The sequence below is a fragment of the Homo sapiens genome, chromosome 4 (assembly GCF_000001405.40).
Source record: "Homo sapiens chromosome 4, GRCh38.p14 Primary Assembly".
Lineage (NCBI taxonomy): Eukaryota > Metazoa > Chordata > Mammalia > Primates > Hominidae > Homo > Homo sapiens.
Genome location: NC_000004.12, coordinates 90801877 through 90824674, shown reverse-complemented (window position 1 = coordinate 90824674; position 22798 = coordinate 90801877). Strand labels below are relative to the sequence as shown.

Below are 22798 nucleotides of genomic sequence, written 5' to 3'. Positions count from 1 at the left end.
GAGCAAGTGGGGAATTACTTTTAAGATAAATTCATGATATGATTTTCATGCACAAAGAATGTTTCTCTTATCATGCAGGAATTATTCTGTTATTAAAGTATCAAGGGCATACCATTTTATTCAATTTGAATTCTGAAAGTATCAAAATTACTCCTCTCTAGATTTCTGATAAAGTGCTAGTTAGCCATATGTATTTCTTAGTCTTTTATTTTTAGCTCACCCTTTTTATTATGCATAGTAACCTGATTACACATAATGATACACTTTCAGTTTTTCAACTGCCTTCAATTTTTTTCAAAAATCATCATTTCTACAAGTGCCTTTATTCAGTCCCATGTTTTGCTATTCAATTGTTAACAAATGAGCCGAGAACTTGCCTTACAGTTAATAAAGTAAATTACATTTGAAAAGGTTGGAGAAACATGATTGTTTACATGCTTACTTACACTCAAGTAAGAATATAATTTTCAATATTTGCTTTGAGTGAGAACACAGTAGGTTGAATAACACGAAAAGGGATACATGTTTTTAAACATTTTTTTTAATGAGGCCTGGCTTTCTTGAGTTCATATTTACATTACGGGAGGAAAAAGTGTTCAACTCAATGATGTATCTATTATAATGGATGCCTGAAAAGCTTATTTTTAACCGTCCTCTTCTAAAAGAAAAACATAGGATTAAATAATATGGCAATAAATTAATATTAATAATGGCCAGAAAAGAAATGAAGCTAGTTAAAACTTTTATTTAACTTTGTGTAAACTATATGTCAAAAAGTAAAAAGTAAATTTTAATAAATGTAATATTTGTTTAATAAAAAAAGAGTCTGCAGAAGATACAGTATAGGTAATTACTAAATCACGCTCTTGATGTAACATTTATTTTTTAATTGTGCTTTAATTTTAAAAGTAAAATTAACATTTTAAAATAAAAAATAAAGTTCAGTTTTGAAGATATTATTAAAATTCAGTAAAATATTTAATTATAAACTAAAATGTCCAAACATCCCCCCCCAAAATAGAGAGCTCACGGTTCACACACTATTCTTTTGTTTTGAATCTTAAATACAAATAAATACTCCAAATGGTTACTATTAACTGATATAATTTAAGTATCTCAAGTTCCATGTCTTTGTCTTTACAATAACTATGCTCTCATTGCTTATTTTGAAATCTATATTTGAATACATTAATAAGTAGCACCTCAAATTTTAGAAACACAAACAGTTTACAGCTAGTTGGAAGGTTCTGACTTAAGATCACAAACTTAACTCTCAAAATAAAAATGTGTGGTGGAATCGTTGAGTGTTTCAGCTCCATAACTGAAATCTCCTAGTTAAACTTCCATTTAAAAATGCATTGTTTATTAAAGGACAGGTAATTAAAAAAATGTGATAATTGAAAAAAATTTTAAAGTGTGTGGGGAAAAATGTGTGTGTGTGTGTATGTATGTGTGTGTGTGAAGTTTAAAACTTAATCATAACCTACATTTAGAATTCAGACCCACAAAAAAATCTTCTTAGGAAAGAGTCTCTCATTACCGACATGTTTTAAATTTTTGCCTCTGATAATAGTCATACATTATTCCTACAGTCAATGTATTCCCTTACTGCTTAAAAAGATGTGGTGGTGAAGGTAACTTAAATTTCACTAGCATTGAAAAGTATAGATGTTGTAATGTTAGTAAACAGAGGTAACTTAAATTTCACTAGCATTGAAAAGTATAGTTGTTGTAATGTTAGTAAACAGAGGAAGATTATGAAAGAAAACATAATAAGTATTTTTGTTTTGCTTTTTTGTTTAAATAATGTTATTAAGGGCTGTTATTAAAGTGTTTATTTTACAGAGGGCTAATAAACTTACTTTTTCAGAAAATCTATTTTGTTTTTCCGGTGACCCATTTGAATTGGACTTTTAAATAGAAACTTTTTTTTTTTTTTTTTTTTTTGAGATGGAGTCTCACTCTGTCCCCCAGGCTGGAGTGCAATGGCACGTTATCAGCTCACTGCAGCCTCCGCCTCCCAGGTTCAAACGATTCTCCTGTCTCAGCCTCGGGAGTGGCTGGGATTACAGGTGCCCGCCACCACGCCCAGCTAATGTTTTGTATTTTTAGTAGAGATGAGGTTTCACCATGTTGGCCATGCTGGACTCAAACTCCTGACCTCGTGATTCGCCCGCCTTGGCCTCCCAACGTGCTGGGATTACAGGCGTGAGTCACCAGGCCCAGCCAAAACACATATGTTTTTACAGAAATAGACATAGAAAGCTGTATCTGATACATTTTACCCCGATCGGCTAGAAAACAAATAAAAGTGTCCAACAGGAAAATTCTGAATGGTAGAAACCCCAAAAGTTCAGAAATATAAACTGCTGACAACTTACATTTAGTAATGTGATTATCCATACAAATCTGTTTAACATTTTTGAAAGTGTATATGTAAATTGTCATCCAAGTTAAAACAGTAAATTCACAGCACCGTCTACTAACCTTAATTAGGACAATTAAATTCTTCTCTTCACGGTCATAGAACTAACTAAATTTATTATGTTTTCATTTGTAATTTAACTCTAACTTACTTAAAAAATATTTTGAATTAATTTATTAATAAATACCAAATATACTTTCTTCAATTTCTGATGTCGTATGGTACACACTCTTCATCCATAGTGTAAAACCATGTATAAGATTTTTGAAACCACTGATAAGATTAATAATCATTTACAAGAACATATCCATCCCCCCAAAACACAAGACTACACTTCACCATCAACATTTATGACAAATATCTCAAATTTATTTTAGTAACCTGAGGATAATATTTACAGTGCCCTTCAGTATCATATAAGCAATAAAATTACATGGCATTCTTCAACATAACCTTCACAAAATAGCTGAGGGAAAGACACTGAAACTTTCTCAGAAGTGAGAAAAATATCTCTCTGTTTTATATCATTAAGTGTAATAAATTAAACTTATGATGCAAATATTTAAAATACCTTTTATTATAATTAATTATGATTAAGTATGCATACGTTTAGCTATTATGTTTAGACTTTTGGTCTAAATCTATAGCTCTGCTTTAAATATCTTAATAAATTAAATTAGTAAAATCCCTAAATCTTTCTGTTGGATAAGAGTGATGTATTTCTAATATTCAAAAAGTCCAATATATTCTACAACATAAATAGAACCTATATTTTAAACTATTTATCCAAACATTTAATTATCAAAAAAGTCCTCCTTTTATTTTTGATTCTGAACGTTGGTTCTTTTCCATGCCCTCAATTAGCTAATATTCTCTCCAATCACCATGATGTGTAATAATTCTCACTGAGGTGTATGTCATAGCTTTTGTTCTCATTTCCCACCCTGTTTAATAGTTCGCAGTAGTTCTTAGCAATCATCTTGTTCAGGGTTTTGGTTTGTTTGCTTGATTTTGTTCTCAGCTGTGGTTTTTCATCAAATAAAATCTTAGGAGTATAATGATATGCATTAAATAAAAACTGCTTATTGATTGAAATGATACTGTAATAAGTAATGACATGCAAAAAACAATGAAATGAGGGCTACTATCATTAAGTGGGTGGGGAATAGAAATCCACAGGATCCCTCTGCGGCCCTTATTTCCCCCAACACACACTGATCACGGAATGAAAACCATTAAACACATTGAAATTCTTCATTTATTTTCCAAAGAAGTAGTCTGGTGTTTTTCTGATTATACAAGTAATATATTTGTTATTAAAAATGACACATTACCAAATTAAAGCAGAAATTGAGCAGTCTAATTTCTCAAAGTTAAATACTATTAATTATTCTAGACTTTCTATACAATATACGTTTTTCACATCGTGTTATACAATATGCTGTTCTAAAATCTGCTTTTCCCTCCACTTAATAATTTTATAAGCAACATAGCTATAAAAATATATATAATATATAATACAGTTATATAAATATAAATATGCTATAATCTATCAAATTCACTATTGATAAATATGTAATATTTTTAATGTTATGGTCCTATGGTCTGAGTATGTCGCCCCAAATTCTGTCATTGAAAACTTAATCCCAAACAGTGTTGGGAAGTGCCACCTATGGAGAGATGTTTAGCTCGTGAAGGCTTCCATGTCATGTATATACTAAAGCTGCTATAAAACGGGCTTGCAGGAGCAGATTCATACTCTTCTGCCTTTCTATCATGTGAGGACAAGCATTCCTTCCCTCAGCTTTCAAGGCACCATCTTGGAAGCAGAGAGATGGGCCCTAACCTGCTAGCTCCTTGATCTTGAACTTAGCAGCCTCTAGAACTATGAGAAATATATTTCTGTTTTTATAAATTACCATAAATTATCCAGTCTGTGATATTTTGTTAGAACAGCACAAAACAGACCAAAACATACAGTGGTATTATTTGACAGTTGAAGAAACCAATGCCCAAATAGAGAAAAATACCTAAATCTGGTCACATAGGCAATTAAGATTAGAGGTAGGACAAGAAACTCATATCCCAATTTTCCATATCACCATATTGACTCACTCTTCTCCTCAAGTAAAGAAAGCTAAGGCCCCAGGAAGATGAAGAGAAGAAATTTTTCCTTTGCTCTATTTCTTATTTAATGCAGAGGAGATTTTGTTCTATTATAGAACAGTTGGGAGTAGATGTTCCATGCTGTGAACTAGTTTCCTCTCTGTTTACCATACTGCAAACTTCTGGCTACAGAATGTATGTCTCGTTTTCTCCAATTAGTTTCCCTAGCACATAATCCCAGGACACTGTAATATTCTAACATTTAATATCCCTTTGGACATAATAAAACAATTACAAGTGATTATTTTTATCTCGATCTGTTGAAAACAGTAAATCTCACCAAGGTAAGTAATGCATAAATATTTCAGGGATAATAAGTCTTGACTTTTTAAAATTGTTCCTAAGAGTACAAACAGCTTATTGTTTTCTTTTTAAAAAGAAGGAATAAATTGGAAGTGTGGCTATAAAATACAAAAATACATTCACATTAGAAATGCAATTAATAATCTGAATAGTTTACCCAAATAATATCAATATATAATCCTAAATCGAAATTATTATTTTCAGTTTCTCAGTGTCTTTATGCTTTGTGAAATCTACCCACCCAGCAATAAAAAAGAATTAAGGCAATGTAATAATTTTGAAATCATATGGTAGAAAAGAATAATTTTTGAAACGTGCATTTAATGCTGGAAAAAAATATATAGTAGAACTCTCTAATTTTCCACAACTGAACTTGCTAATATTAAACAGTCATGAGCACAAAGAGTATGTGCTATGTACTGAATTGTTCCCCCTGCTCCACAATTCATGTATTGAAGCCCTGACTCCCGGCGTGATGATATTTGGAGATAGGACCTTTGGGAGATGATGGGAGTTTTGATGAGGCCATGAGGTAGGGTCCTTATGACAGGATTAGTGTCTTTAGAAGAAGAGACATCAGAGGGCTCACATGATCTCTCTTTCTCCCTCTTCTCTCTCTCTCCCTATGTGCATGCACCAAGGAAAGACCATGGGAGCACATACCGAAAAGATGGCCATCTGCAAGCCAGGAAGACAGCCCTCACCACAATCCCAACACTCTGGCACCGGATCTCAGACTTCTATCCTCCAGAAATCTGACAAATAGACTTTAGTTGTTTAAGCCACCCCATCTATGGCATTTTGTTTTGGTAGCCTTAGTAGATAAATACAGTGTACAAACAGTTACATATTTAATAGCCCAAGGAAAGGTGCATCTCTTGTGCTGGAGTTTTTTGTTTTTTTCCTGGGTATCTATAAATAGATGTTTTTTCTATAACATACCATTTCATTGGGGACTACACATTTAATCTAATATCCCTGTAGCAGTGGTTCTCACCTGGAGGCAATTTTGCCCCCATGGGACATTTGGCAATGTGTAGAGGTGCTACTGGCATCTAGAGGAGAGAGGCTAGGGATGCTGCTAAACGTCCTACAATTCATAGCACAGACACAACAAAGTGCCACCAGCACTATTGTTCAGAAACCATGCCCTAAAAACAAATGACTAAAACACTTGCATTTAAATGACTAAAAAACTTGTTATGGCCCAGAGTGGTGGCTCACATCTGTAATCCCAGCACTTTGGGAAACCGAGGTGGGCAGATAATTTGAGGTAAGGAGTTCAAGACCAGCTAGCCAACATGGCGAAACCTCGTCTCTACTAAAAATACAAAAATTAGCCGGGCACTGTGGCGTGTGCCTGTGGTCCCAGCTTCTTGGGAGGCTGAGGCAAGAGAATCGCTTGAACCCAGGAGGTGGAGGTTGCACAGTGAGCTGAGATCATGCCACTGCACTCCAGCCTGGTGACAGAGCAAGATTCTATCTTAAAAAAAAAAAAAAAGAAAAAAAAGAAAAGAAAAACATTTCTTTTTTTCTAGACCCATTCTGTCCCTAACTTTTTACAACTCTTCCCACTATTGATGAGGCTAACTCAAAAATATAAATAATCAAAAAATTTAAAACTTTCTTAATTACTAATTGGGAATAAAGCCTTTCTTGGTACAATTACATCTAATTTCATTCTACAGCATACATGTAGATACAATTGCTTGTGATAATAACAGTGGTCAAGAAATCAGAAACCCATGAGAAAGAATAGAAAACTGAATCAGTTCTAAATTATTAAAGATTATGAACCTGTAGTATATAGTAGGGTATAACTCAACTGGTTTCTAAAATTTTTTGAAATTTTCAATGTAAGTAAAGCATAAGTGTAAAATTTAACCTCCACCATAACAAAATGTCACAAGTTATTTATTACCAGGACCAGAAATAGGAGGACCAAAATTTTCCGTGGATGCAAGGGGTTTGTATTGGCCTACATGATTGGCATTTCTTATCCATGCTCCAAATCCAGTTTGAATGACAATTTTTTTTCCAACCATGTTTCCTCTAAGTAAAATTCTTGAATCACCAATTACATACTTCTCCCTTAGCTGCAGTCCTTTTTAATTAATAAAATAAACTATATTTTTTTTAAAGTTAACATTTTTCCTGTTTATTCAAGATGATTATGGAAACTACAATAGCACAAAATTAAAATGCTGCTTGATTGTTCCCTGAGAAATTTTAGAAACTAAGTAGCCAATTTGAGTAATTCAAGTATAAAGAAAAGAAAAAGAAATATATAGGACTTTTTTAGATGGAGGTATACTAAATTTTTTAAATTATAACTATGTAGTACTGTCTTTGAAAGTAATCATTTTCTTTTTCATTTAATTCAGCAAATGAAGGTCCAATTTCTTGTATATGAATGTTTTAAAACTGATCATAACTAATGCTGAGAAAAAAAGAATACTCTTTTCTGAGTTAATTACCCAAGTTCAAAATAAGCACTCTCTGACAAAGTAATAAATACTCTGCTATGTTAAAATTGATTATTTTAACCATTATGCAATAAATATCTATAGGTGATATTTAGTCAACTCAAAGATATTTTTGTATGCAACGTAAAAAAGCATTATTAGATAATATGTACCTAGAGGGCTATATTTAAATAAAGAAATGTTTTCATTATGTAATATATAAAATTGACACTACAATATGTTACTTACAGGTTTATAAAAGGTTATTTTGGTAATGTAACACGTGTTCCTTTTGTCTGTGATACTATTCTTATGCTAAGTACTAGTTTATAAGTCTTCTAAAGCCACAGTAACATGTTAATGGGACCAAGGATCAGCATCAATCCAATCCTAGAACACTGTTTAAATAAAGATCAAGTTTCAGGGAAAACATTGTCAGTTGTGAAGAGTCTATAAACTATGCTCTGAATTTCTCCAATATCTCACTAATATGTTAGGAGTCCTCAGAAGTTCGATGGTCTATAAAGTCTGTTTTGTAATTTAGTTGTGTTCAATAATTACATAATACACTATTGTGAGTCTGAAATAATCATTAAAAATACGTTGAGAAGGATTTGTTTCTTGATCTTGATAATGAGTCAGGGTCTCTCTTATTGCATGGTTATTTCTTTAATCTATTATTAGTGTAAAAATGAATGATGAATTAAAAATATCTCTTCTTATTTCTTTCTATTTAATTATTGTTTTAGAGTACTATCTTTTAAAATTTATATTGAGTGCACATTTTATTGCAAAATACTGTTAATATTCATAGATACATAGAAAACACATACTTAGAAAAAATAATGCCCACTGCTCTGTCTGCTATCTACCAAATGTATTTTTATATTATGAAAGTGTAATTCCTTACTTTCTTTCATGATATTACATTAAAAACCATACTCTAAAACCTGAACCACACACACTGCATATTTTTGTATAATTTTTACATAATTTGGGAACTATATAATAAATTAACAAGAAGTCTCATTAGGTTAATGTATTTTTGATGGCTTTATAAAAGTAAAATGTAAAATCTGGTTTTGTTTGCTAGATCAAGTATTTTGCTTTATATTATAGATCTGTATCTTTAGGTATAGCTTTATGGAGTTAAATCATGCACTTTACAAAAACAATGTGGCCTAAGCCTTCAAGATTTCTGATAGATACAACCGAAATGTTTAATCCTGGTTCAGTGATATGTTTCTGGAACCATATACATTTCCACATATATTATAAAACATCCTTTCTATTCTTCAGCTTGTCAAAGATCTATAGTTTTCATGACAGAATTATAAAAACTGATCATTGGATTGAACCACTGGAAGGATTTACAAATAACTAATGCCATTGGTGTTAATAAATAAGGGCGTGGAACAAATAACCTTGAAAGTAAAGTACACTCGTGGGCCAAGCATTGTTATCACTTACCAGCTCTTCCTGAAGTTGGGAAATGAGTTCATCCTTCTCTTTCAGCTGCAGCTTGAGCATCGAGCATTCATCTTTCATTATATCCTATAAAAACATCAAAGAGACAGCATAATAGGCTTAGCCCTTTTACTTTGCTCTTGATAAGGAAAGTCAGCTTCACACAGTGGGAGATAATTGCATCTGACTAACGAAACTCAAATTCCCTCTATAGTATGATATTTTTCATAATATATTCTTAGTTGCAAAAAATAAGTTAATGTATCCAAAAAATGCTTTTATGCTACACATAATCATGTAGACACACACACACACACACACATCCACACACACATATGTTTTTGCTTAGTTTTTTGTTTTGTTTTTGGTATTCCTCTATCGATTTATTTGCCTATGACAGAAACCAGGAAACCTTCCTAAATTATTCCCTCTCATGTTTGTGCATACATAGTAAGTAGAACAGAAATAACTCTACATTTAAAAAGATACTGATATGGCTTGGCTCAGTGTCCCCACCCAAATCTCATCACGAATTGTAATCCCCACGTGTGGAGGGAGGGACCTGGTGGGAGGTGATTGGATCATGGGGGTGGTTTCTCCCATGATATTCTCATGATAGTGAGAAAGTTCTCATGAGATCTGATGGTTTAAAAGTGGCAGTTTTCCCTGAGACTCTCTGACTCCTGCCACTTTGGGAGGACATCCCTTACTTCCCATTAGCCTTCCACCATGATTGTAAGTTTCCTGAGGCTTCCCCAGTCATGAGAAACTGTGAATCAATTAAACCTTTTTCCTGTATAAATACCCAGTCTTAGATCATTCTTTATTGCAATGTGAAAATGGATAATACAGAAAATTGGTGATTGGAGTGGGGCACTGCTATAAAGATAAACTGAAAATGTGGAAGCACCTTTGAAACTGGGTAATGGGCAGAGGTTGGAACAGTTTGGAGGGCTCAGAAGACAGGAAGATGTGAGAAAGTTTGGAGCTTCCTAGAAACTAAAATGGTTTTGATTAAAATGTTATGGTGATTTGGTCAACAAAGTCCAGGCTGAGGTAGTCTCAAATGAAGATAAGGAACTTATTGGGAACTGGAGTAAAGGTCACTATTGCTATGCTTTAGCAAAGAGCCTGGTGCCATTTTGCCACTGCCCTACAGATCTGTGAAACTTTGAACTAGAGAGACATGATTTAAGGTACCTGGTGGAAGAAATTTCGAAGCAGCAAAGCATTCAAGAGGTGACCTGGCTGATTCCAAATGCATTCAGTCATATGCATTCAAAAACAAATTATTGGAAACAGGCACTTTTATTTAAAAGAGAAGCAGAGCATAAAAGTTTGAAAAATTTGCAGCCTGACCATGAGGTAGAAAAGAAAAACCCATTTTCTGGGGAAAAATTCAAGATGACTGCAGAAAATTGCCTAAGTAATGAAGAGCCAAATGTTATAGCCAAGACAATGGGGAAAATGTCTCCAGGTCATTTCAGAGATCTTCACTGCAGCCTCCCATCACCGTACAGGAGCCTCTCCCAACAAGGGAAGCAGCCTCTCCCATTACAGGCCAGGAGGCTTAGGAGTGAAAAATGGTTTTGTGGGCTGTGTCCAGGGCCCTGCTGCTCTGTGTAGCCTTGGGCCATGGCAGCCTGCATCCCAGCTGCTCTAGCTCCAGTCATGGCTAATAGGGGCCAACGTACAGCCCAGGTCTTTCTTCAGAGGGTACAAGCCCCAAGCATTGGTGGCTTACATGTGGTGTTGGGCCTGCGGGCACACAGAGGATAAGAGTTGAGGTTTGGGAACCTCTGCCTAGATTTCAGAGAATGTATGGAAATGCCTGGATGTTCAGGCAGAAGTCTGCTGCAGGGGTAGAGCCCTTAAGGAGAACCTCTGCTAGGGCAGTGCAGAAGGGACATGTGGGGTTGGAGCCACCCACACAGAATCCCCACTGGGGCACTGCTTAGGGGAACTGTGAGAAGAGGGTCACTGTCCTCCAGACCCCAGAATCATAGATCCACCAACAGCTTGCACCATGTGCCTGGAAAAGCCACAGGCACTGTATTAGTCCATTTTCATGCTGCTGATAAAGACGTATCTGAGAATGGAAAGAAAAAGAGGTTTAATTGGACTTATAGTTTCACATGGATGGGGAGGCCTCAGAATCATGGCAGGAGGTGAAAGATGCTACTTACATGGCAGTGGCAAGAGAAAATGAGGAAGAAGCAAAAGTGGAAACCCCTGATGAACCCATCAGATCTGTGAGACTTATGCACAATCACGAGAATAGCATAGGAAAGAACAGCCCCTGTGATTCAATTACCTCCCCCGGGGTTCCTCCCACAACATGTGGGAATTCTGGGAGATACAATTCAAGTTGAGATTTGGGTGGGGACACAGCCAAACTATATCAGGCACTCACCACCAGGCTGTGAAAGGAGCCGCAGGGGATATACCCCACAGAGCCACAGGGGTGGAGCTGCCCAAGGCCATGGGAGTCCATCCCTTGCATCGGCATTCCCTGGATGTAAGACACAGAGTCAAATGAGATTTTGGAGCTTTAAGATTTAATGACTGGCCCACCAGGTTTCAGAATTGCATGAGGCCTGTGGCCCTTTTGTTTTGGCCAATTCCTTTCATTTGGAATAAGAACATTTACCCATTGCCTGTACCTCCATTGTAGCTTGGAAGTTAAGTAACTTGCTTTTGATTTTACAGGCTCATAGATGAAAGAGATTTGCCTTGTCTCAGATGAGACTTTGGACTTGGACTTTTGAGTTAATGCTGTAATGAGTTAGACTTTGGGGGACTGTTGTGAAGGCAAGATTGGTTTTCAAATGTGACAAGAATGTGAGATTTGGGAGGGGCCAGGGACAGAATGAAATGGTTTGTCTCTGTGATCCCACCCAAATCTCATCTTAAATTGTAATTCCCATGTGTCACAGGAGAGACCTGGTGGGAGGTGATTGGATCATGGGGGTGGTTTCCCCTATGCTGTTCTGGTGATACTGAGGGAGTTCTCATGAGATCTGATGGCTTAAAAGTGGCAGTTTCCCTTAAGCTCTCTCTCTCTCCTGCTGCTTTGTGAAGAAGTACCTTGCTTCCCCTCAGCCTTCCGCCATGATTTTAAGTTTCCTTAGGCCTCTCCAGCCACACAGAATTGTGAGTCAATTAAATCTCTTTGTTTTATGTATTACCCAGTCTCAGGTTGTTCTTTATAGTGGTGTGAAAATGGACTAGTATAGATACTATATCTACCATTTGGTCCCTGGCTATAATTAAATATTAATTCTCAAACCAATATCCATGTTACAGTGCTCATCTTTAGTGATGTCCCTGTAACAATTGTGCCTTTCACTAGAGCTCAATCTTTGGGCATTTAATCTTCTCACTCTGCATGTACACCCAACCACGACCTCAATGTACACAATATATCCACATCCATGGCCTCTACTACTCTATGCTGGTGTGATGGTTAATACTGAGTATCAAATTCATTGGATTGAAGGATACAGGGTATTGATCCAGGGTGTGTCTGTGAGGCTGTTGCCAATGGAGATTAACATTTGAGTCAGTGAGCTGGGAAAGGCAGACTCACCCTTAATCTGGGGGGGCACAATCTAATCAGCTGCCAGAATGGCTAGAATATAAGCAGGCAGAAAAATGTGAAAAGAGAGAGTGGCCTAGCCTCCCAGCCTACATATTTCTCCTGTGCTGGATGCTTCCTGCCCTTGAACATTGGACTCCAAGTTCTTCAGTTTTGGAATTTGGACTGGCTCTCCTTGCTTCTCAGCCTGCAGATGGCCTATTGTGGACCTTGTAATCATGTGAGTTAATACTTAATAAACTCATATATATATATGTGTTTATATATATATATATATATATGTGTATATATATGTGAGTTTATTAAGTGTATATATGTGTGTGTGTGTGTGTGTGTGTGTATATATATATTCCATCAGTTCTGTCACTCTAAAGAACCCTGACTAATACAGCTAGTAACTACAAGATACAACTAGCTAATCCAGAATTATCTGTATTCCAAGCTCCAGCTCTTAAGTACAACTACTCACTAAACATATACTCAATATTGTTCCACAGACACTCCAATTCAACATCCTCTTCCGCCACCTTAAGACTTCACTTCTGCTGATTTCCCCATTATCTTCCTATTTCCTAAATTAATAATCAGGAAGCCATCATATACGCTCAGCTGCTACTCACTTTGAACCAAATCTGGAACCAAATTTAATCTCCACTTCTTCACTATTTCTTGGACTTACTCCTCTCCATTCCACATTGACAGTCTAAGTACTTGTTGCTTCTTACCCAAATTTCTGTAATTGTCTCTAAAGTGATTTTTCCTTTATCTCTATCACTTTCCTTATTTGCCAGAGAGATTTTTCTAAGCAGGAATTAATTTTGTCACTTCCTAATTTAACAGCTAATCATCTTCTCCTTCAGGAAGAAAATCAAAACTCTTCAGCATAGTGTATTGTACCCTTCATTAACTGTTACTTGCTTATTTCCGGAGCTGCAAGTTTTTGACTTTCAACCTCCTCACTTTGTTCATTCCTACAGCACTGAAATGCAATGTTGTTTCACATCTCCTCACTTTACACATGCAAATTTCTGGATTTTATTGCCTTCTACCCGTTGTATCCTTCTCTCCCTCACAATACCTCATGCTCCAAGACACATCTCAAGAATTACTCCTGCCGGATGCGGTGGCTCATGCCTGTAACCCCAGCACTTTGGAAGGCCGACGCGGGCGGATCACAACGTCAGGAGACAGGAGATCGAGACCATCCTGGCTAACACAATGAAACCCCGTCTCTACTAAAAATACAAAAAATTAGTTGGGCGCGGTGGTGGGCACCTGTAGTCCCAGCTACTCAGGAGGCTGAGGCAGGAGAATGGCGTGAACCCGGGAGGCGGGCCTTGTAGTGAGCCGAGATCGCGCCACTGCACTCCAGCCTGGGCGACAGAGCGAGACTCCGTCTCAAAAAAAAAAAAAAAAAAGAATTACTCTTTATTTCACTAGAAAGATTTTCCTTTTTGGCCAAGTGGCACACCCCTTTGGGAATGCTCCATAGCATCCATACCATACATCATTTCATGCAATACTTAAAGTGTTGTTTGCTTGTTCCCCAACCTCACTGAACTAGTTTTGGTTGTTGTTGTTGTTGTTGTTGTTGTTGTTGTTGTTGAGAGGGAGTCTCGCTCTTGTTGCCCAGGCTGGAGTGCCTTGGCACAATCTCGGCTCACCGCAACATCTGCCTCCCAGGTTCAATTCTCCTGCCTCAGCCTCCCGAGTAGCTGGGATTACAGGCACGTGCCACCACACCTGGCTAATTTTTTGTATTTTTAGTAGAGACGGGGTTTCACCATGTTGGCCAGGCTGGCCTCAAACTCCAGACCTCAGGTGATCTGCCCACCTTGACCTCTCAAAGTGCTGGGATTACAGGCATGAGCCACTGTTCCTGGCCTCACTGAACTAGTTTTATTCCCTATTTGAGCATATAGTTTCTATTGCATTACCATATTACTAGCACCAAACATAATAACTGACACATATAAGGTGATCAAATTTGGCTGGCCATGGTGGCTCTCGCTTGTAATCCCAGCACTTTGGGAGGCCAAGGAAGGAGGATAGCTTGAGCCCAGGACTTCAAGACTAGCTTGGGTAACACAGTGAAACACCATCTCTATTTGAAAAAAAGAAGATGCTCAAATTCATGTTTTTTTCCAATACAATTACCAAATAAGCAGTATAAACAGCAGTATACCCATTTTCTCTGAAATCTGGCACCCTTATCTGAGCTGACAAGGAACAACAACAACCAAAAACATCTAAAGGATTAGAGAAAACATAATACCTGTTTATTCTGGTTCTCATGGTAGAATTTCTACTTCTTCCATACTGAACTACAAAGAATGTATAGTTCTTATTCATTTATTTAGAGACAGGGTATCACTCTGTCTAGTAGTCTGGAGTGCAATGGCTCAATCAAGGCTCACTGTAACCTCAAAGTCCTGGGCTCAAGTAATCTTCCTGCCTCGGCCTCCCAAGTAGCTAGGACTGCAGGCATGCACCACCACATCCAACTAACTTTTTTTTTTTACCTTATTATTTTTTTAATTTTATTTTCATTGGTTTGTTATTATTATTTCTATAGCTTTAGGGGTACAAGTGGTTTTTGGTTACATGGATGAATTGTATAGTGGTGAAGTCTAGGATTTTAGTGTACTTATCACTTAAATAGTGTACATTGTACCCAATAGGTAATTTTTCACCCCTCACTCCCTTCACACTTCCCTGCTTCTAAGTCTCCAGTGTCTATTATATCACTCTGGCTTTGCATACCCACAGCTTAGCTCCCACTTATAAATAAGAACATGGGGTATTTAGTTTTCCATTCCTGAATTACTTCCAAGTTGCTGCAAAATACTTTCACTAGTTTGTTATTTTTATGGCTAAATAGTATTCCACAGTGTGTGCTGTGTGTGTGCGTGTGTGTGTGTGTGTGTGTGTGTGTGTGTATGATCTTGCTCTTCACCAAGGCTGGAGTACAGTAGTATGATCAGCTTACTGTAACCTCAACCTCCTATGCTTAAAGGATCCTCCTGCCTCAGCCTCTTGAGTAGCTAGGACTACAGGCATATGCTACCATGCCTAGCTAATTGTGTGTGTGTGTGTGTGGAAATGGGGTCTCACTTTGTTGCTCAGACTGTTCTTAAATTCCTGGGCTCAAGTGATCCTCCTACCCCAGCATCCCAAAATGTTGGGATTACGGACATCAGCCACCGTGCCTGACTTATAATACCATGTTTTCTTTATACATTTATCAGTTGATGGGCACTTAAATTGATTCCATATCTTTGTAATTGTGAATTGTGCTGTGGTAAACATATGCATGCACATGTCTTTTTGATATAATGATTTCTTTTCCTTTGGGTAGATACCCAGTAGTGAGATTGCTGAATTTAATAATAGAGGTACTTTTAGTTCTTTGAGAAATCTCCATAATATTTTCCAGAGGTTGTACTAATTTATAGTCTCATCAGCAGTGCATAAGTATTCCATTTTCACCATTTACCACATCCATGGTAACATCTATTGTCTTTTGATTTTTTAATAATGGTTATTCTGGATAAAGTGACATCTCATTGTGGTTTTAATGGACATTTCCCTGCTGGTTAGTGATGTTGAGCATTTTTTCATATGGTTTGTTGGCCATTTGTATATCTTATTTTGAGGAATGTCTGCTTATGTCATTTACCCACTTTTTGATGGGATTATTTATTTTTTTTCTTGCTGATTTGAGTTGCTTGTAGATTCTGGATATTAGTTCTTTGTCGATGTACAGGTGGCAAATATTTTCTCTCATTCTATAAGTTGTCTGTTTACTCTGTTGATTATTTCTTTTGTTGTATAGAAGCTTTTAAGTTTAATTAGGTCTCATTTATTTATTTTCCTTTTTGTTACATTTGTTTTTGGGGTCATAGTCAAAAATTCTTTGCCTAAGCCAATGTCCAGAATCGTTTCTCTTAGGTTTTCTAATATAATTTTTATGGTTTTAGGGCTTAGATTTAAGTCTTTAATCCATCTTCCGTTAATTTTTGTACATGGTGAGAATAGGGATCCAGTTTCATTCTTCTACATCTGGCTATCCAATTTTTCCAGCATCATTTATTGAATAGGGTGTTCTTTGCTCAGTGTATGTTTTTGTTGGCTTTGTCAAAGATCAGCTGGCTGTTGCATTTGGTTTTATTTCTGGGTTCTCTATTCTGTTCCAATGGTCTATGTATCTACTTTTATACAGGTACCATATTGTTTTGGTTACTATAGCCTTGTAGTAAAATTTGAAGTAATATGATGCCTCCAGATTTATTCTTTTTGCTTAGGATTACTTTGGCTATTAGCACTCTTTTTTGGTTCCACATAAGTTTTAAAATTTTTTTTTCCTAATTCTGCAAAAAATGACGTTGGGGTATTTTTATAGGAATTGCATTGAATCTTTGGATTGCTTTGGACAATATGGTCATTTTCACAATTTTGATTCTAACAGTCCATGAGCTTAAGCATAGGATGTATTTCCATTTTTTATGTCATATATGATTTTTTTCATCAGTGTTTTATAGTCCTTACAGAGCTCTTTCATCTCCTTGGTTAAGTATATTCATAAGTTTTTTTTTTTTTGCAAATGTAAATGAGACTGAGTTCTTGATTCGATTTTCACCATGGTCATTATTTTACCCAGAAACTTTTAAAATATTTTGTTGAGATGGAGTTGCTTTATGTTGTCCATGCTGGCCTCAAACTTCCTACCTTGGCCCCTTGAAGAGGTAGGACTACAAGTGTGAGCCACCACACCTAGCTTAGTTGTAATTTATTAATATATCTTTTCATTTGCTGACAACCAGCTTGACTACAAGGAAGATGCTTATTAACTCTTTCTGTTCCACCTCTTTTACAGTAGTCCAATTTCTTCCCCAAATCTTGGGTATTATGGACAAGGATTATACTCATTTTTAATACTTATACTCCTAGACTCTAAATATTACTGTTAATGGTAAAAGGTTTTACCTGCTCTACATTGCAAAGGAAATATTAATATTAGCATAGTAGGATGCAGGTAAGATAATAATCATGATTCTTACAATCAGAGAGATACAGGATCAAATCCTGGATGCTACAAGTAACTAGCCAGGTAGTTCTGTGCTAGTTACTTAACTTCTTTAGTCCCATGGAAATTTCTGTGGAGGTTGATGATGACACCAAACTATAACCACCTTACGACAAAAACTCTATTGTATTACTACTTATATTACCAAAGTCTTGCATAATATGTCACTTAAGAAAAGTTAATTTTATTCATAAAATAAAATGTCACAAGTTGGTTCTCCAGGAATCAAATGGAGTTAAGGATACATAAAGTTTATTAAGGAAGGGAAAGGAAAGGAAATGTGAAGAAAAAAAAAAAAGAAGAGGATTCAGGATTGAGTAGGGGACAGTCAAACCTTGATTCCTACTAACAAATTCTCTATGAGCCAAATGAGGGGCTCATAGCTAAGATTTCCTGTTACAGAAATCCCCCTGTTGAGCAAAAGTGGGTTGGCTCTTGTACTACTCCCTTGTTCACTCATTGGTTGGGGAGTGCCTCATGAATAGCTAGATCTCAGCCTTTGCTTCAGATCACCCAGTGATGAGCTTGAACTTCATCTGGAGAGCTGAGGCTGACCCTTGAAAAAGCTAATGCTGTAGTGGGCTAGCCACACTCCTGGAAGCTGGTCAGTGAGTCCTTTATTGAGATGGGATCTGAGATTTGGCCTATATCTACTACAGTTGTTTTTGTTGAACAATTAACAACAGTATTTTTGTATTAATTAACATTTTGTTAATTAAATAGTTTAAAATGGAACATTTCCCTATATTGTGGCTACTAGGAACTGCAAAGAAACTCAGTTTTCCAAAATTATGCTCATTTAAAAAATTCTCAGATTTTATTCCCAGGAAAATTTCTGAAGGAGTTCACAATCTCACCACATTAAACTGGATAGATGCTAATATATCATTTACATTCATTTATGGAATAACACATATAAAATATTTATTATATGCCATAAGAAGACAATTTATAAAAGTCTTCTCTATGAATGGCTTTGCAAATGAATTTTTGCTACCCAGCATTTTGTCTTTAGTTGTATATATACAGTGGCAACATTCACATAAATATTAGCTTGGTGCAAAAGTAATTTAGGCTTTTGCCATTACTATATAACAAAAACTGCAATTGCTTCTGCACCAACCTAAAATATCTATCTAGCAGGCAAAATGAAAGCCTTTAAACAACTCTTACTCTCAAATGAGGGTTGATAGCAATAACCCATCAAAATTCTCATTGTATTTGCAAAATTCTAGAACATATTTTTAAGGATGATCTATTGAGTTAGAAATCATATTGATGTGTAGAATGAACAGGATTTTAATATTCTTGGTATTCAAAATGAAGTTATTCCATTAACCTGTAGGCTAATGTAACCAATTTGACCCTGTGCTTGTAAAAATGCATATTATTCATTGATAGGAAAAATATAATTTAATAATTATGACATTCTCTTTCTCATTCAAGTGTAATTAATTTTTGAACTAAAATTCAATTCTATTATTTCTTAATTCAATAATTATCCATAAATATGGAACTCAGTGTGGTAGATTAAAGACAGCTATAAACCCTTTGCTAGTATTCCTATTGAAAAGTGGAGTCTAATGTTCCTGTCCTTGCATCTTGGCTAGTCTTATTGACTTGCAATGATTAATAGAATATGATGACTCTGCATGACTTTCAGGATTAGATCAGGAAAGGCCTTCCATCATGGTCAGTTATAATGCTCCTTCTGAGGTTACTCCTTTGCAGAAAGAACCCAGTAGCCATGCTGAGAAGCAGAAACCACATGGCGCTTCCACTGACAGCTTCACTGAGCTCCCAAAGGACACCCAACATCAACCGGTGTTGAATGCTGGGTGTTGAATACTGTGAGTATGAGCTACCTTGGACATCTAGGCTGGTGGAGTCTTCAGGTGACTAAAGTCTCAGCTAACATCTCACTCTAACTGCCTGAGAAACACAAGGCTAGAACTTCCCAGTTGAATCATTCCCAAGTTCTTGACATAGAAAATTGTGAACTAAATAAAATTATAGTTTTAAGCCACTAAATTTTGAAATAACTTGTTACAAGATCATCTAAACATAGAGACAAACTCTATTATAGTTCAGATTAGTGTAAATTATGTCATTATAGTTGTGTAAAAATGCATACAGTAAATTTTTTAAAGTAAATATTTTGTGATTTAATTTTTGATTTTTGTGATTTAAATTATATTTGCAATGATTTTCAAATAGCTCATTTCAAGTATATCAGCAATATTTATGTTCTTATGATATAACCTACTAAAGAATCTGAAATACGGATAAAAAATTACATACAAGTGATTTCATTCCTGTACTTCTATTTTATAAATCCGGAAAGTTACAGCCACATACTCAGAAATTTGGGTAGTTTGTCCCAGGTTCAGTTTCCTGACTCCAGTCTTATACATTTTATAATGCATTTTGCCTGTATTTGGAATTATCTCATTGTTTAAGACTATTAACTAAATAGAAATCAAATGTCAAAAACTAAAAGCAAGTAAAATCCATAAATTATTTTGAACAATAATATTATGCTGAAATGCTACAGTAACCAAAACAGCATGGTACTGGTACCAAAACAGACACATAGACCAATGGAACAGAACAGAGGCCTCAGAAATAACACCACACATCTACAACCATCTGATCTTTGACAAATCTGACACAAACAAGCAATAGGGAAAATATTCCCTATTTAATAAATGTTGTTGGGAAAACTGGCTAGACGTATGCAGAAAACTGAAACTGGACCCCCTTCCTTACACCTTATACAAAAATCAACTCAAGATGTATCAAAGACTTAAACGTAAAACCTAGGACCATAAAAATTCTAGAAGAAAACTTGGGCAATACCATTCAAGACATAGGCATGGACAAAGACTTCATGTCTAAAACACCAAAAGCAACAGCAAAAAAAGCCAAAACTGACAAATGGGATCTAATTAAACTAAAGAGCTTCTGCATAGCAAAAGAAGCTATCATCAGAGTGAACAGGCAGCCTACAGAATGGGAGAAAATTTTTGCAGTCTATCCATCTGACAAAGGAGTAATAACCAGAATCTACAAAAAACTTAAACAAATTTACAAGAAAAAAACAAACAACCCCATCAAAAAGTGGGCAAAGGATATGAACAGACATTTCTCAAAAGAAGACATTTATGCAGCCAACAGACATAAGAAAAAATAATCATCATCACTGGTCATCAGAGAAATGCAAATCAAAACCACAATGAGACACCATCTCACGCCAGTTAGAATGGTGATCATTAAGAAGTCAGAAAACAACAGATGCTGGAGAAGATGTGGAGAAATAGGAAAACTTTTACACTGTTGGTGGGAGTGTAAATTAGTTCAACCATTGTGGAAGACAGTGTGGTGATTCCTCAAGGATCTAGGACTAGAAATACCATTTGACCCAGCAATCCCATTACCAGATATATACCCAAGGGATTATAAATCATTCTAGTATAAAGACACACACACACATATGTTTATTGCAGCACTATTCACAATAGCAAAGACTTGGAACCAACCCAAATGTCCATCAATAACAGACTGGATAAAGAAAATGTGGCAGATATACACCATGGAATACTATGCAGCCATAAAAAAGGATGAGTTCATGTCCTTTGCAGGGACATAGAACAAGCTGGAAACCATCATTCTCAGCAAACTATCACAAGGACAGAAAACCAAACACCACATGTTCTCACTAATCAGTGGGAGTTTAACAATGAGAACACATGGACATAGAGAGGGGAACATCACACAGCAAGGCCTGTCAGGGGGTGGGGGACTAAGGGAGGGATAACATTAGAGAAATACCTAAAGTACGTGACAGGTTGATGGGTGCAGCAAACCACTGTGGCACATGTATACCTGTGTAAGAAAACTGCATGTTCTGCACATGTACCCCAGAACTTAAAGTATAATTTAAAAAAAGACAAAAACATTAAAAAATGCAAATAAAAAACAAATAATAATTTCTAATTCTCACAAACCTCCCAATAATTCCTCCAGTAAATTTATGAACATAATTTTTGGCTTCTCAAACACATCAAGTTTGACATTGAGTCATCATGACTTTCTTTGTATTTGTAGACTGCTGGTCTTCTCTCTGGAGGGCTTTACTGTAAGATTTACAAGCTGTTTCCTTATTCTTATAAACAAAAAATTCAAAAGATTAAAAAACAAAGAAAACAGACAACTTTATCAGGGCAAACAAGGACAGAATTTTATGAACAAGTGAAAAAAAAAAAGAAGAAAGAAAAAAGGAATATGGCCAAGGACAGAGGTCAGAGATGAGAAAACACAACGATGTGTAATCATTGACAATATATTCTGCTCTACCTAAATAAGTGACCTCATATAATTCTTATGTTGACTTAGTTTCAAAGTAGCATGCTGTCTGCAACACCTGGGTAGCTAGTGAAATAAATCAGTGGAGGTATATACTCATCCAAATAGGTCCATGGGAGGCACTGCTTCTCAAATACTGAAAACAAGGTTAAGAAAACCACAATTTTGTTTCTTTATTAGTTAGCGCAAAACAATTAAAAAATATTTTATATATCATTTCAGCATTAATAATTACTACTTGATGCTATAAAATTTTTTTATAAACATTAACTAAAAATTCATTGTAGATCTATCTTTATATGCTCACTTAAGAGATTAACATTCCATTGATTTACAGTAAGTGTACTTTTTAAATGAGTACTATTTAAATACTATTAAATGAATACTATTGAAATACTATTTAAAAATTTTAAAAGCATAATATTTTTAGGATATCTTTACTGATTATACAACTACATTTACTAGAGGTAAAATTCACATAGTTTACCCACAGAATTTTATATATACATATAAATATATTTACATATAATATATATTATATATATTTATATTTATATATTTGTAATTAATTTATTTTTTTTTTAGATGGAGTCTCACTCTGTTGCCCAGGCTGGAATGGAATGGCATGATCTTGGCTCACTGCAAACTCCGCCTCCCGGGTTCAAGCGATTCTCGTGCCTCAGCCTCCCAAGTAGCTGAGACTACAGGCACCCACCACCATGCCTGGCTAATTTTTGTATTTTTAGTAGAGGCAGGGTTTCACCATATTGGCCAGGTTGATCTTGAACTACTGACCTCGTGATCCACCCCGCTTGGCCTCCCAAAGTGCTGGGATTACAGGCGTGAGACAACGCCCCCAGCCTAGAATTATACATATATTCTAAAGAACTAAAAAATATATTACCAAACAATAGCATAGATTG

The 22798-nt window shown here is 35.8% G+C and overlaps 1 protein-coding gene across 28 annotated transcripts in view; it reads right to left on the bottom strand.

Moving 5' to 3' along the window:
- Positions 1-22798, bottom strand: part of CCSER1 (coiled-coil serine rich protein 1) — a 1477902-nt gene that overhangs the window by 780621 nt on the left and 674483 nt on the right. For all 28 annotated transcript variants that reach the window (XR_001741218.2, XR_938733.3, XR_938734.3 and 25 more), the window contains one exon: positions 8830-8913. Coding sequence is in view for 23 of the 28 variants with exons in the window: in XM_011531936.2 (XP_011530238.1) it covers positions 8830-8913 (84 nt within the window). In the remaining 5 variants the exon portion in view is untranslated. The remainder of the gene's footprint in view (positions 1-8829; positions 8914-22798) is intronic.